Genomic DNA, 15,801 nt, shown 5'->3' with positions numbered 1-15,801 from the left:
ATACCTGTTAAGAGCAATATGAATAAAATTATGCTTTTAAAAAAATGTTCAGGCAGATTATTATTATTATTAGAGACAGGGTCTCACTCTCTTGCCTAGGCTGGAGTGCAGTGGTGTTATCTTGGCTCACTCCATCCTCTGCCTTGGGTTCAAGCGATTCTCATGCTTCAGCCTCCAAGTAGCTAGGATTACAGGCATGTGCCACTATGCCTGGTGTATTTTTAGTAGAGATGGGGTTTTGCCATGTTAGCCAGGCTGGTCTCAAACTCCTGGCCTCAAGTAAGTGATCCGCCCACCTCAGCCTCCCAGAGTGCTGGGATTACAGGTGTGAGCCACCACACCTGGCAGGTGGATTACTTCTTAAAGCACTTCTTTGTGTTAAAACAGGAAATGAACCAGTGTTAACAGTGTGTGTTACTGAATGGTGAATTTTTTCCCCCAATTTTTTTATATTTAAAATTTTTTCTATAGTTAAAATATTTAAAAAGTTTCTTTTGGGAGCATTTTTGTTTTTTGTTTGTGTTTTTCTTTGTTGTTGTTGTTGTTGTTTTCTGAGACAGGGTCTCACTCTGTCACCCAGGCTGGAGTGCAGTGACTCTGTCATGGCTCACTGCAGCCTTGACCTCCCCGGGCTCAGAGTATCCTTCCAGGTCGGCCTCCTGAGTAGCTGGGACTACAGGCATGCACCACCATGTCTGGCTAATGTTTTGTTTTGTTTTTTAATAGAGACAAGATTTTGCCTTATTTCCCAGGCTGGTCTCGAACTCCTGGGCTCAAGCCATTCGTCTGCCTCAGCCTCCCAAAGTGCTAGTATTACAGGTGTGAGCCACCTTGCCTGGTCTCGTTATTTTTAAAGCTTTAAATTAAGCTGTTTTTATATGTGTACAAGTTTTGAACTGTTTGGTAGATGGCCTCAATTAATTCCAAATGAGCCAATTTCTGCACATGGACCTCTTTTGACAATGACAATATGAGATTTTTGCCATTGGTTAGCTATGAAAGAGGGATTTTATTTTATTGCAGAGTTGTTCTTCAAGTTCTTTTTTGTCTTTTTTTATTATTATTGTTAGACATAGGGTCTCCCTCTGTCCCCCAGGCTGGAGTGCAGTGGTGTGATGATAGCTCACTGTAAATTTGAACTCATGGGCTCAAAACAGTCCTCCTGCCTCAGCTTCCCAAGTGGTTGAGGCTACAGACACGTGCCACATTGGCTGGCTAACTTTTTTTTTTTTTTTTTGAGATGGAGTTTTGCTCTTGTTGCCCAGGCTGGAGTGCAGTGGCACGATCTTGGCCCACTGCAACCTCTGCCTCCCAGGGTCAAGCAATTCTCCTGCCTCAGCCTCCCGAGTAGCTGGGATTACAGGTACCCGCCACCATGCCTGGCTAATTTTTGTATTTCTGGTAGAGACAGGGTTTCACCATGTTGGCCAGGCTGGTCTTGAACTCCTGACCCCGTGATCCACCCGCCTCAACCTCCCAAAGTGCTGGGATTACAGGTGTGAGCCACCACACCTGACCTGCTGGCTAATTTTTAAATTTTTTTGTAGAGACAGGGTCTTACTATGTTGCCTAGATAGATCTTGAACTTTTGGCCTCAAAAAAATCCTCCTGCCTCAGCCTCTCAGAGTGCTGGGATTACAGGCATGAGACACCATGCCTGGGTGGGAATTGTTTTTATTAGGTGAAAAGATTGGTTCATAGGAAAAACGTTATTGAAGAATTATGTGACTTGAACTAATCCAGACTGTCTCCCCAGATGATATTGCTGATAGGATGAGGATGGATGCTGGAGAAGTGACTTTAGTGAACCACAACTCCGTATTCAAAACCCACCTCCTGCCACAAACAGGTTTTCCAGAGGACCAGCTTTCGCTTTCTGACCAGCAGGTTAGGAGCAATTTTCTTCCTTTAATTAATTAATTATTTGGGCTCATCATAAGTTTTCATCTTATGTAGTTTAAATGCCACACTCAAAAATACAAGCATAGCTATAAACTTTTTAGAATCAGTAATTTTAGTGTTTGGAATTCTGCTCTATATATTAAAATTAAGACAAGGACGTTAAGACAAAATAGGCTATGTATGAGTTCTTTGAGAACAGTACGTTTTAGAAAACTCATTGTTCCTCTGAATTTTAAAATTACTTATATGCAGATCAGTGTTCTTTTAAACTAGCACCTAAAATTGCTGAGCATTAAATGGGGGAGAAATGTGAAAATATACAGCAGCTCTAAGATGTCTGTGCTATAATGCCTGATTTCTCAAGGTCTAGTTCGGGACCAGCAGCATCAACATTACTTGGGAGCTTGATAGAAATGCAGACTCTCAGGCTTTACCTCATATCACTGAATCAGAATTTATATTTTAAAAACATCCTCATTTGATTTATATGCACATGAAAGTGTGGGGAGCACTATTAAGCAGTCTTTTTCAATAGGAAAGCCATTAGTAATTTGGATGAGATCATTCTTTGATGTGTGAATCTTTCCTAATTATAGTAGGATGTTTAGCATCCATGAGCCCTAGGCACTAAATTCCTGTAACATCCACCTCCCCCCATAATCATTTTAATAGTTAATATATATCCACACATTTCCAGATATGTACTCAGGGTATAGCACCACCTCTGATTAAGAGCTATCTCTGTAAAGTTATCAAAAGAACCAAAACCAGATTGATTTTTCTCAACCTTTTTAATATGTGTTATAAATGGCTTTCAGACAGGATGTACTAAATACATATTTACCTTCTAGTGAACATTCTTTGAATTAAATTGTATAACAAATATTTTGCCTGTTTTTTTCCTTGAAGCCTGAATTATTTCATTAGATTGTCTATGTGTTTTCCTTTCTTGTTAGTATGTAGTATTAATACGTATAATATATAAATATAATTATATTGAGTTCTGAAATAGTCTTAGTTCTGCTATAGTCTTTATTTAGAGACGGGGTCTCTCCATGTTGTCCATTGCTAGTCTTGAAGTCCTGGGTTCAAGTGATTCTTCTGCCTCGGCTTTGCAAAGTGCTGAGATTATAGGCATGAGCCACTGCACCTGGCTTATAGTCTTGTTTAATTATATATTTTTCCTAGTATATGTTTTTATTTTATTGTTAAAAAAGTGACATGGCCGGGCGCGGTGGCTCACGCCTGTAATCCCAGCATTTTGGGAGGCCGAGGTGGGCGGATCACCTGAGGTCAGGAGTTCAAGACCAGCCTGGCCAACATGGTGAAACCCCGTCTCTACTAAAAATACAAAAATTAGCCAGGTGTGATGGCGCGTGCCTGTAATCCCAGCTACTCAGGAGGCTGAGGCAGGAGAATCACTTGAACTCAGGAGGCGGAGGTTGCAGTGAGCAGAGATTGTGCCGGTGTACTCCAGCCTGGGCAACAAGAGTGAGACTGTCTCAAAAAAAAAAAAAATGTGACTTAAGAAAAATCTTCTGCTTTGTTTAGATTTTATCTTCCAGGCAAGGACATTTGGACCGATCTTTTACATGTTCCACAAGAAGTGCAGCTTATAATCCAAGCTATTACTCAGGTATGACACATTACTTGGAGTCAAGGGACTTTATACCTTTTGGATTTCTTGATAGCATATCGTTTATGTTTATCATCTCCAAAAGTAAAAACATTGTCAAAAACAAGATGGTATTTTCTTCACTAAAACATCATTTGAATGGCTTTTCCTGTGTATGTGGTTGCTATGATACTTTACTGATTTTGTCTCATCCAAATACTGGTTTTCTAGTGGGAAAGTGTTTTGAGAATCTAACTGTCCATTATGCCATTGTAAAAAGCAATACAACTTTGTTTTTGACCTTTTTTTGGGAATATGTGTATGTGATGTGTGTAAAGGGTGTTTGTTTTGCGTTAATTTAAATCACAGAGCAAGTTTATTTCTGTTCTGCTTGAAACCATGAAACCTGAAAATTTATTTCTTCCTGAGCTTGTCCTTCTTTCAGGGCAGGAAATGTTAACTACATGTTTCTGTCTAGCACCTGCCACAGCCATATGCTTGCATATTCAAGGGCTTTTCTATTTAACTTGTGATCCATGACAGAAGTCAGCATTCTCTAGGCTGTTCTTATCCTGTGACCTGCCTGACTTATCTATCATCTGCCCTCTTACTAGGGTTTGGACTTCCAAGGGTCTTCTGCCCCTGCCTTGAGAAACTAAGAGTTTTGTTGGTTAGCCTCTTGGCTGTAGGACTCAGAAAGATTACAGTAGTCTTCCCAGGTCTTTTTACTCCTCATGCTTCAGTCTCCTTGCCTTACCACAATATGGGAATACCAGTTATACCATTGAAACTGCCTCAACAGGAATTTTTTTTTTTTTTTTTTTTTTTGACACAGAGTCTCCCTGTGTTGCCCAGGCTGAAGTGCAGTGGTGTGATCTCAGCTCACTGCAACCTCTGCCTCCTAGGTTCAAGCAATTCTCCTGCCTTAACCTCCCTAGTAGCTGGGATTGCAGACACCCACCACCACGCCCGGCTAAATTTTGTAATTTTAGTAGAGACGGGGTTTCACCATGTTGGCCAGGCTGGTCCGAACTCTTAACCTCAAGTGATCCGCCTGGCTCCCCCTCCCAAAGTGCTGGGATTACAGGTGTAAGCCGCTGCACCTGGCTGGATTTTTATAAGGATAAATTGGGATGATAAATATGGAATGCAGATAATAATTATTCTTGTTATTTGGCTTCCTTAGGATTCTTTGTCAGCAAGATGAGATCTCCTCCCTAAAAAGACGTTAGTAGGATGCTCTTTTAGATTCATACTATATTTAAATGTGATTTAGGTGGGTGATACTTTATCTGCCCTGGGCACTGGACTTCCATAGTATGTGCATAATTTGTATAGAAAAATCAATCAATTTTCTCAAAACGTAACTCTACTACCATTATTATTGAGAAGGCTTTTTGATGAACAGAGTCTGAAATCTGGTTTGATAGGTCAATATTAATGGTGGAGGAACAGTTGAATGGTTAATGAAATTAGATCATCAGTATTTCCATTTGAACTCAGGCTATGTTTGCTTATAATTTCATATGCCAATTTACCATTGGATAGAATCTCTGCTTTAAGTTAAAAACAATTACTTAATAATAAAGTTATATAGAAAATTCTACTCAAAGTTCCCTTCTCATAACCCAATTCTAATGTTTTATTTCTAATTTATTTTTAATTATTATTATTATTATTTTTTGAGATGGAGTCTCGCTCTGTCACCCAGGCTAGAGTGTAATGGCGCGATCTTGACTCACTGCAACCTCCGCCTCCTGGGTTCAAGCAATTCACCTGCCTCAGCCTCCCGAGTAGCTAGGATTACAGCTGCCTGCCACCATGCCCGGCTAATTTTTGTACTTTTAGTAGAGATGGGGTTTCGCCATGTTGGCCAGGTTGTTCTCGAACTCCTGACCTTAGGTGATTCACCTGCCTCGGCCTCCCAGAGTGCTGGGATTACAGGCATGAGCCACTGTGCCTGGCCTATTTTTAATTTTTTTTTGAGACAGAGTTTCACTCTGTCACCCAGGTTGGAGTGTGGTGACATGTTCATGGCTCACTGCAACCTTGACCTCCTAGGCTCATGCGATTCTCCTGCTTCAGTCTCCCGAGTAGTTGGGACTACAGGTACATGCCACCATGCCTGGCTAATGTTTTGAAAAATTATTTATAGAGGTGAGGGTCTTGCTGTATTGCACAGACTGGTCTCAAACTCCTGGGCTCAAGTGATTCTTCTGCCTAGGCCTCCCAAGGTGCTGAGATTACAGGTGTGAGCCACTGCACCCCATCTCATTCAACTCTTATTTAACTCAAGTCTCTGTGATCTCTTCCGATTATCTGTGTGTACATACCTCATACACATTGCATGATTTGACACATGTAATCTTTTTTAACTCAGTATTTTTATTTTAATTTTTTTTGAGACAGGGTCTCACTCTGTTGCCCAGGCTGGAGTGCAGTGGCACAATGACAGCTCACTGCAACCTGCACCTCCTGGCTGTGATCCTCCCACCTCAGCCCCCTGAGTAGCTGGGACTACCAGTGCATGCCAGCATGCCTAGCTAATTTTTGCATTTTTTGGTAGAGACGGAGTTTCGCCATGTTGTCCAGGCTAATAGTTATAGTTTTTCATGTGTCAACATGTTCTTTTTTTTTTTTTTTTATCATTTTCTGCTCATTTCTAATTCATGGAATTGATACGCACATCCACAGTCCCTTATGTGCAATTCCAAAATCCAAAAACCTCTGAAAACCAAAATTTTTTTTCACATCTCATTTGGCTTCAAAACCTGACCTGAGGCTGGGTGCGATGGCTCAGGCCTGTAATCTCAACACTTTGGGAGGCCAAGGCGGGTGGATCACCGGAGGTCAGGCATTCGAGACCAGCCTGGCCAACATGGTAAAACCCTGTCTCTACTAAAAACACAAAAATTAGCAGGGTGTGTTGGAGGACACCTGTAATCCCAGCTACTTGGGAAGCTGAGGCAGAAGAATCGCTTGAACCCAGGAGGTGGAGGTTGCAGTGAGCGGAGATCGCGCCACTGCACTCCATCCTGGGCGACACAGTGAGACTCCATTTCCAAAAAAAAAAAAAAAAAAAACCTCACCTGAATTCATTCCTTGGCAAAACCTACTTGAACTGACATGAAGCTGTTTATATTTTTTCTTTTTTAAAATCTCTGTAAAAATGAGTATTTTCACATTTTGCTGTAGATAACATGTTTGATTACAGAGTGCTCTTACAGATTATACTTGAAAGTGTTACCTAATATGTCAGGTTATCTTTCTAAAATTCCAAAAATTTAAAATTTGGATATAGAACTGGACTCAAGCATTTGATTTGGGATAATGGGTGTGTGCCTTCATTTGCTTCATTATTTTCCCTATGGTTTAGGTGCACATTTACCCTTACCATTTTCAGCTATTGTTAATAACATGACTTAAAAGCATTGGTATATAGAGCTTTTTTTCTCCTAAGTTTTAGTAAACCCTTGATATTCACAAAGAATATATCTAAGATTATCTTAAGTCCTAATGTAATATTTGGCCAGATTCCTTGGCTTTCTACTCAGTTACGTAATTGTTGAGAATTACATTTTTCTTATGTTTATCCTCATACCACAAGTTGATTCCCATATCAACAGTCTTACACTAAAAGCTTCATCTCTCACTTGAGTACCTTTTTTTTGGAGAAGAAAATAATTATAACAGTTACTATATATATGGTGATGATTAGAGAATAACAATAGTAAATAATAAAGTCATACTGAAATGGGATGCTAAATTACAGCTTGAAGCAGAGGACTCAAATTTGTGCCTTTAACAAATCTCATCTAGTCCCTGATCAAACAAGCTTATGGCATGTCACAGACATCAAAGGTCCCTTTCTAAAAATCAGGAATTTAAATCTGTGAACGTCAGTGGTCTATATATATTTTTTTCTTATAATGAAGTCTTTAATTAAAACCTACTTTTTACTATGGACTTTAAAAAAACTTCTTCCTCTTTCCACACTCATTCCAATTATGCTCTCTCCTTTGGATATATTCTTTTCTGATAATCCCCACATCGATTGCAGTGGTCATCACTTTGTGCCTTACCTCTTGATTGGGCTAGACACGGACCCTCAGTTTACCTGCCTTTATCTGCTGATCCTGACTTTATTGGTATTTGTCTTCTCTCTCACCCTGCTGTCCCCTCCTTCACCAGGATGAAAATGAGCAGCAAGGCCCAAACTTTAGGATCTAGGATCTGGAACTTCTCCTTTATTACTTTATTGGATTGACTTCTCTAGATCAAGCTTTTTAAAAATCTGCCTCTCAATCCACTTAAGATTAGAGTATTTAAAACATTGATTTTTTTAAAAAATAAAATTTTAAAAACTTTTTTACAGTTTACTTTGTTACAGCAAAACTTTACACGCCTGTAATCCTAGCACTTTGGGAGGCCAAGGCGGGAGTGTCACCTGAGCCCAAGAGTTTGAGACCAGCCCAGGCAACGTACTGAGACCCTGTCTCTACAAAAAATAAAAATAAATTACCTGGACATGGTAACGTGTACATGTAGTCCCAGCTACTGAGGAAGCTGAGGTGGGAGCATCTCTTGAGCCTGGGAGGTCAAGGCTGCAGTGAGCCATGATGGTGCCACTGTACTCCAGCATGGGGACAGAGGGAGACCCTGTCTCAAGAAAAAAAAATGTTTAACCCTAAACAGAGAAAAGTGGGATGAAAAGAAGTGATTTTGCTTGTGCTTAGAATCATTATCAATGTCTTCTCTTTGGAAAATATGTTACATTAGGTTACCAGAATGATACTTGGTAGGTAATATTATTTAAACATCCTGCTATTATTTTAACTAAAGTTAACAGGAACAACTGGTAGTACTTACTTTCATAGTAAGTAGTTAGCTGACACATTCTTTTTTTTTTTTTTGGAGACAGAATCTCGCTCTGTCGCCCAGGCTGGAGTGCAGTGGCACGATCTTGGCTCACAGCAACCTCTGCCTCCCGGGTTCAAGTGATTCTTATGCCTCAGCCTCCCTAGTAACTGGGACGACAGACGTGTGCCACCACGCCTGGCTAATTTTTTGTATTTTTAGTAGAGACGGGTTTCACCATACTGGCTAGGCTGGTGTTGAACTCCTGGCCTGAGGTGATCCACCTGCCTCCGCCTCCCAAAGTGTTGGGATTACAGGCGTGAGCTACCACACCCAGTCTTGACACATTCTTTTTTAATATGAAGTTTATTATATTCATAAAAGTATTGCTTGTCCCTGCAGAAAATTTGTGTAGAAAAGTAGAAAAATACCCATCACTCTATCATTAGAACATAACCACAATTAAATTTTTGGTGTATTTTCTCCTAGTTTTGTGTGTATGTATGTACACATAATAGGTAATCTTTTTTGTGGTGTTCGTAACTCTGATTTCTCACAGAAATCAGTGGTGACAGACTATCATGTTAAACTCTCACTATATGTGGCCAGGCACAGTGGCTCACTTGTATTATCTCAGTACTTTGCCGTTGGGAGACCCAGGTGGAAGTATCACCTAAGGCCAGGAGTTCGATTCCAGCCTGGGCAACACAGTGAAACCCTCCCTCTCCAAAACAATAGAAAAATTAGGCATGTATGATGGTATGCACCTGTGATCCCAGCTACTTGGGAGACTGAGGCAAGGAGATTGCTTGAGCTTAGGAGTTCGAGGCTGCAGTGAGCTATCATTGTGCCACTACACTCCAGCCTGGGCAACAGAGTGAGACCCTGCCTCAAAAACAAACAAACAAAAACAGTATCTGTAGTTTCCTCTTGGTCTGTCTCTAGCTTTGTTTGATCCCATCAGCAATAGAACACCATTCAGCAATTTCATTGGGATTGGAACCACCTTTTTCTGTTTAAACAGACTGCCTGATCTTCTGCTTTTCCCCTTGCATTTTAAAGCTGCAGTCTCTGTCACATGCCGTTGAGAATGCTACTCTGACTTATCCTTGGTCTCAAATTTCACACCTGTTAGGGTAATTTGCATTTTTGACAGACCGATGCCTCAGATAGATATCTGTATTTAGATCATGCCCTAATCAAATTTTAGCCAAAATGTGTGAGAGACAAATATTTCTACTGTTACAACTTTAAACTTAAGTATAATAATTTTCTAGTTCTTTACTAAGACTCATTTTCATTAGCATCATGTTTCTATCCTCAAAATTATAGTAATAGATGCTAAGCATAGATACTGATTACAAAGGAACAAAGTTACAATTCATTTTGAAAGTAAATTAGCTTATTTTAATTATCAGACTAAGGTCACCAACTGTTGAATTAACAAGTGCTAATACCAGCCATGACTTCTTCTTTTTTCCTATTTACCCTAAATCCTGACATCTTGATTAGCTTACAGAAGCACAAAATTATATTTTGGAAGGCTGCCTATTTGGATAGAGCATGAAAAGATACATTAAATACTTTTAATAGCATAAATTTACAATATTGCGAAAAGTTCTATAGTAATATGTTTTAAAAGAATATCTTCAAAATAATGTCAGCATTAGAAAAAAATTCCAGAAATAGAGAATTATTATTCTTGTGTTTTCACTGGAGCTCCTTAGAGTTCCATAACTTAATGTCTGAAGTTATTTTGAGGGAGCTGTTTTAAATTGTCCAATTCTGCAGATAGGGAGAGGAGGTTATAGAAATTATTCTACCACTCCTAGCTGAAACTTCAGGAGGTTTTTGATATGCCAGATTGTAATCCACAAGTTAGAAAATTCAAATAATAAGTAATTCTCAGTTAATCTGATTGTAGTAGCAAACATTGGAGTAATAATATGTTTGATTATGGCATTAGATGACTGAAGATTATTATACCAGAACCAGATATATATGATGGGTCATTCCTTGCCATAAGCCAACCAGAATAAGCAGCAATTAGGTTATCTCTGCTCTTTGAGAGAGTACCTGAGTCTTGAACATGGTAACTAAAACGAAGAAAGTGACACTAGCTGCTTAGTAATCAATAACTGTTGTTCATTTGAATTACAATTCTCACTGGCCCCCCACCTGCTTTCTTACTGGTCTGGCCTACCTTCTTTCAGGCCCAGGCCTGGGAGTGCTTGCAAGATATAGTTGGGGTAAAATGTTGACTTTTGGTGGACACCACGGAGTCACATTGATGCAGATAAGGCACATGGCTGTGGCAGGATTCAGCTCCTTCATCAATTTTCAGGTTAGTATGGCTGAATCAATTATAGTTTGTAGAAGTTCCCCTACTGCAGACTTTACTGGCAGTTGAGACTGGGATCTTTCTTCCATGAGAGAAATGGTGACATGCCACATTACTTTGGAATACAATGGTTGGTCATGGTTGCAGTCATAAGGAGAACCACCTGTAGAATTTGTTTAATTTATTCAAACTTTTATTTTTTTAGATAATCCTTCCTCAGACAGTTTTCTTGGCTCAGGCGATTTAAGAACCTTTGGCCAGAGTGCAAATGGCCAATGGAGAAATTCTACCCCATCGTCAAGCTCATCTTTACAAAAATCAAGAAACAGCCGAAGTCTTTACCTCGAAACCCGAAAGACCTCAAGGTTCGTATTTTGTCATCTTAGTTCTCAAGCCCTTCCTCAGACATAAGAGAAAGTGACTAAAAGGTAGATAGTTATTACATTGGGATTTTAAAAGAGTAACACCATTTTTGGACTTTAAACCTTAAGGATATGAACAAATCCATTTTACATTTTCAACTTCTCATTTACTTAGTGCTGAATTTTGATGATAGCCAGATCTTACTAGAAGAGAGAATTTTAAGTAAATCTTGGTGGATATGAGAATATTGGGAGCCTTCAAGATCAATATGGCTCTTGCAAATCTTAAAGTGAAAATCAGTCAATCTCCACAATTTGAGCAGGAAAGAAACATATTTTACAGCTATCAAGTGAGCAGAGACCTGACTTAAACTAAAGCAGTTCTCTACCTCATGGCATTAGTCAAGTAGACCAAGCTACTTCTATATATTAGAAAATAAAGAGTCACAGACCGGGCACGGTGACTCGTGCCTGTAATCTTAGCAATTTGGGAGGCTGAAGCAGGTGGATCACCTGAGGTCAGGAGTTCCAGACTAGCCTGGCCAACATGGTGAAACCCTGTCTCCACTAAAAATACAAAAAAATTAGCCAGGCATGGTGGTGTGTGCCTGTAGTCCCAGCTACTTGAGAGGCTGAGGCAGGAGAATCACTTGAACCTGGGAGGCAGAGGTTGCAGTGAGCTGAGATCATGCTGCTATAGCTCCAGCCTGGGTGACAGAGTGACCTCGTCTCAGAAAAAAAAAAAAAGATAGTCACAGAGAACTTTATGCTAGTTATTCCAACTTTATAAGCTCTATCTAACAAAACTTACATGGATTATTAAAGGCAGATGAAATCTGGCTTAGAAACTTTTCCCTCAGATATTTTGTTATATTAGTATTTATTATATTAGTAAACATTTCTTTTTTAAAATAGTATTTATGACTACTTAAATTCTGCCCTGGTATATTTTAGGAATGTGGGATTATTTAGTGTACTGTTTAGTCAAGTTTGAGCTTTATGGTGTTGATAGAAGCCAACAAGATGGCTTTTATTATTTTATGCACATGGACTCCAGGAATGTGTCAATACTCCCTGGGATCATGTTCCTCACTTAACTTTTAAAAAATTATACAGTAATTCACTCATACACTCACATTGTAGAAATCAACACATTACCAGCAAAGCTGAAGATCCCTTGACCACTACCCACAATCCCAATCCCTTTTCCTTGGTGTGTTTCCTTCCAAACCTTTTCCTATACCTATTTCTCTCTTACTCTTTCTTACTCATATATAGTATGATATATATGTTGTGTATACTATTAAATGTATGATATTATTTTGTCTTCATTAAAGATTTTCTATATGCATCATTTAGCAGGTGGCTTTTTTAATGCAATAAAGCCATGCTGTTATTTTAAAAAAATGTTATTACAGAAGTAGTACAAATACTTTGGGAAAGTTTAGAAAATATAGTTAAGAAAAATAAAAAATAAAAACATCACATTGCCACCAGCCTGAGATCAACTCTGTAATATCTTAGTACATATCCTTCTACATACTTTTCTCTACTTTTTTTCCAAAATGAGTTTATAGTATACATATTCTTTTGTAAATTTTGTTTTATACCCTAAGTCATATTTAAATTTTCTCAGTTGACCCAAAAGTATCTTTTATAGTTAGTTTAGTTTTGCATCTGGAAGTTATTGGCTTTGTCACTTATAACTAGAACAGCCTTTTTTTGTTTTGTTTTGTTTTGTTTTGTTTTGTTTTTTTGTTTTGTTGAGACGGAGCCTTGCTCTGTCGGCCAGGCTGGAATGCAGTGGTGTGATCTCGGCTCACTGCAACCTCCGCCTCCCAGGTTCAAGCAATTCTCCTGCCTCAGCCTTCCGAGTAGCTGGGACTACAGGTGCCCGCCACCATGTCCTGCTAATTTTTGTATTTTTAGTAGAGACGGCATTTCGCCATATTAGCAAGGCTAGTCTCGAACTCCAGACCTTGTGATCTGCCTTCCTTGGCCTCCCGATCCCTTCCTGGGATTATAGGCATGAGCCACCATGCCCAGCCTCAGCCTCCTTTTTTTAAATGACATGACTTTTCTGTATAATGTTCTACTTTTTGGATTTGGCAGGTTGCTTCCTCGTGGTATCATTATTTTGTCAAAAAATCACCTGTATTTTTTATAAGCTAGGTTTTAGATGTGACTAAAAGGTGTGCTGCATTTATCACATTTGAAAAACAAACAGTATCTTGTTTTGGTTCTCCTATTATTCATGATGCTAGACTGACCTCTGGATTGAGGAACTGACAGTCTGGTGGTTAATTGTACAGTTAGGTTTTTTCCCGTGTGACTTGAATGTAATCTAAATAATGTTACTTTGGCGTTATATGAATGATGAATTTCACATCAGCCATCACCTAATAATTAATATCATTTGCTAATACCTGATAATAGTTTTATTAGAGTTAATGAAATAATATTTTTCTAATTTTATCACTTTTACACTTCTTAATTGGCATTCTGATTGCATTTTTCCTTAGCTGGGGCTATTAGAGTCCCTGAAATGTGTTTCCTATGGGAAAGGCCTGATACATGATTAGATTTTTCTTTTTCATTACCAGTTTTCAAAGCAAGGTTTTTGTAAAATAGACACTTCATATGTTTCAAATGAATTTGTCTGTTCCTTTTTTAGTGTCATTATGGATTCAGTATTTTGTAATCCACTATAATTGTTATACTTTTAATGCTCACATTCTCAGAAATTTGGCTAGTGGAAGCCCTTTAAGCTTGCTTCTGTCTGTTTGACCTTAACTCATGAATTTTGGGTAACACCCTTGCTTTCTGTCATTGCAGGATGCCCTTGTACTGTTTCTTTAGAAGAGTAATCTTTTATGTTAAAAAAAACATGCATAGGCGCACGCATACTCTGGGAAACACAAATACAGAAGACATTGTGGAGAATCCATCATGTCTTTACCAAACAATTGCACTGCCCTTGCCATCTTTTCCTAGCTGCATCCACTCATCCTAAGAAAATAAGCCTGTTCCTAAAATTCTAAGTCCTTGCTCATTTCCCCATTCTTTTTTTTTTTTTTTTTTTTTTTTTGAGAGAAGCAAGAATATGACTGTAATTTAACATCAACAATGACACTGTGTAACAGCACAGGGAAGAGGTAGTGGAGAGAGATGGTCAGGCTTCCTGTTCCTTAACCAGCCTTGATTTTAACAGCAGAGCCCCAGCAACCTAGAAGCGCCTCACCTAGCCTCTTAATGGAGTGGGAAGGGGCAGGGACTTGGAAATTAGAGGCTCAAAATGTAAAGAAGGCTGATGGCAAGCCTGGGGAGAGGCCTGAGAATGAGGGAAGGGCTGAGGGCTGTGAGGAGTCCTCACACAAAGACCCTAGCACAGGTCTTCGGCAGTGAACATGCCCCTGGCCCTCCGCAGGGTGGAGTCCTTGGCGTCCTCATATGGGTGCTCCTTGGAGGGGATCTCCAGGACAGTAGGGATAGAGTGCTGGTGGGTGTCCAGGGCATGCTGCACCATCTCTGCGATGTACTGGTTGATGAGGATGATGCCAGTGTCATCCCGGTTTAGAAATTGCCGGAAAGTGTCTTCGATCTCATTGATGGTCGTATCCTTCTCCACCACCAGGAAATTGGGGTGGCAGTTCTTGTTAAGCTCCCCTATGCTGCCCAGCAGGAAACCAGTCACCGTGTCCTTGTCTCTGATCACTGCGATGAGCTTCCTTCTCCCCGCCATCCCTGCAGCCAGGCAGAGCTCACCCCAGAGCACCAGAAGCCACTCTCATTTCCCCATTCTTAACACACGTACAAACCCAAGAAGACTTAAAGAGAATTATGCACTGTTTGATTTTCTTTAGATCTTGTCTGATTTGGATTCAGACCACATGTAATGATTTTAAAGAGTTGATTTCATTGAATTTAGAATATTCAGCTGTGTTTCTCTAGTCTGAGTCTTGAAGAAAAAAGAAAATGTATTATGCTAAGAATAAGTACCTCAAACTTTCCAGGTAATGATAAATGAGAAAGAGCACATAGAAAAAACTCAAAATTGGCTGGGTGCTGTGGCTCACATGTGTAATCCCAGCACTTTGGGAAGCTGAGGCCGGCGGATTACCTGAGGTCAGGAGTTCAAGATCAGCCTAGCTAACATGGTGAAACCCTGTCTCTACAAAAATACAAAAATCACCTGGGTGTGGCGGCGGGTGCCTGTAATCCCAGCTATTCGGGAGGCTGAGGCGGGAGAATCACTTGAACCTGGGAGGTGGAGGTTGCTGTGAGCCAAGGTCGTGCCACTGCCTCCAGTCTGAGTGACAGAGCAAGATTCCATCTCAAAAAAAAAAAAAAAAAAAACTCAAAATTAGTAAGCCTTAGATATAAGACAGGGTTTTTGAGTTCACAATATTCTTCTTGCCAATTTGCCAATTTTTCCCATTAGATAGTATAAAGAGACAAAAAATTCTTCAGAGGAAGTAAATAGGCCAGAAGGAGAATTTAATGACGCAGCCTAATAGTTGTTTTTAATGAAGGATGGGAGCCCTCTGTTGGTCTTTAAGGAAATTTAAAAATTCAGTTTAAAAGCTTAGTTGAGAGGCTTCAGCCTTTATGCATTTTTACATATTTAATCTTAATTTCCTCCAACAGGCTGGGTACAAGGGGTACAGGGAATAATAGAAAATGTATGTGTTGTTAGCATACCTGGAACCCAGGTTTTTTGAAGA

The 15,801-nt window shown here is 39.6% G+C and overlaps 2 protein-coding genes across 17 annotated transcripts in view, besides 1 other annotated feature; one reads left to right on the top strand and one right to left on the bottom strand.

Annotated features, from left to right (window-relative positions):
• SENP1 (SUMO specific peptidase 1) overlaps positions 1 to 15,801 on the top strand; it is a 63,183-nt gene that overhangs the window by 6,199 nt on the left and 41,183 nt on the right. For 7 of the 16 annotated variants that reach the window (XM_017019237.2, NM_001267594.2, XM_047428752.1 and 4 more), the window contains 3 exons: positions 1,757 to 1,887; positions 3,454 to 3,538; positions 10,921 to 11,080. In XM_017019237.2, the coding sequence (XP_016874726.1) occupies positions 1,757 to 1,887; positions 3,454 to 3,538; positions 10,921 to 11,080 (376 nt within the window). Of the gene's footprint in view, positions 1 to 726; positions 820 to 1,743; positions 1,888 to 3,453; positions 3,539 to 10,587; positions 10,719 to 10,920; positions 11,081 to 15,801 lie in introns of all 16 variants that reach the window. The other 9 variants (XM_017019232.2, XM_017019230.3, XM_017019229.3 and 6 more) reach the window with 4 other exon arrangements.
• Positions 8,616 to 8,832: a silencer, noted in NCBI's record as "fragment chr12:48484832-48485048 (GRCh37/hg19 assembly coordinates)". NCBI's record gives its function as "represses an EF-1alpha promoter that drives an FKBP-Casp9 reporter gene in an ReSE screen in K562 erythroleukemia cells {active_cell/tissue: K562}" and the evidence as "EXISTENCE:reporter gene assay evidence [ECO:0000049][PMID:32094911]".
• On the bottom strand, positions 12,708 to 15,427 carry LOC101927180 (V-type proton ATPase subunit F-like). The gene has a single exon (XM_047429952.1). The coding sequence runs from the start codon at positions 14,817 to 14,819 to the stop codon at positions 14,460 to 14,462; it is 360 nt and encodes a 119-aa protein (XP_047285908.1). The 5' UTR covers positions 14,820 to 15,427; the 3' UTR covers positions 12,708 to 14,459.

The sequence above is a fragment of the Homo sapiens genome, chromosome 12 (genome assembly GCF_000001405.40).
Source record: "Homo sapiens chromosome 12, GRCh38.p14 Primary Assembly".
Lineage (NCBI taxonomy): Eukaryota > Metazoa > Chordata > Mammalia > Primates > Hominidae > Homo > Homo sapiens.
Note: the sequence above shows the minus strand (reverse complement) of the source record. Positions and strands in the feature narration are given on the sequence as shown.

Excerpts from the sequence above, each read along its gene's own strand:
- LOC101927180 (XM_047429952.1), bottom strand. The coding sequence starts at position 14,819 with ATGGCGGGGAGAAGGAAGCTCATCGCAGTGATCAGAGACAAGGACACG.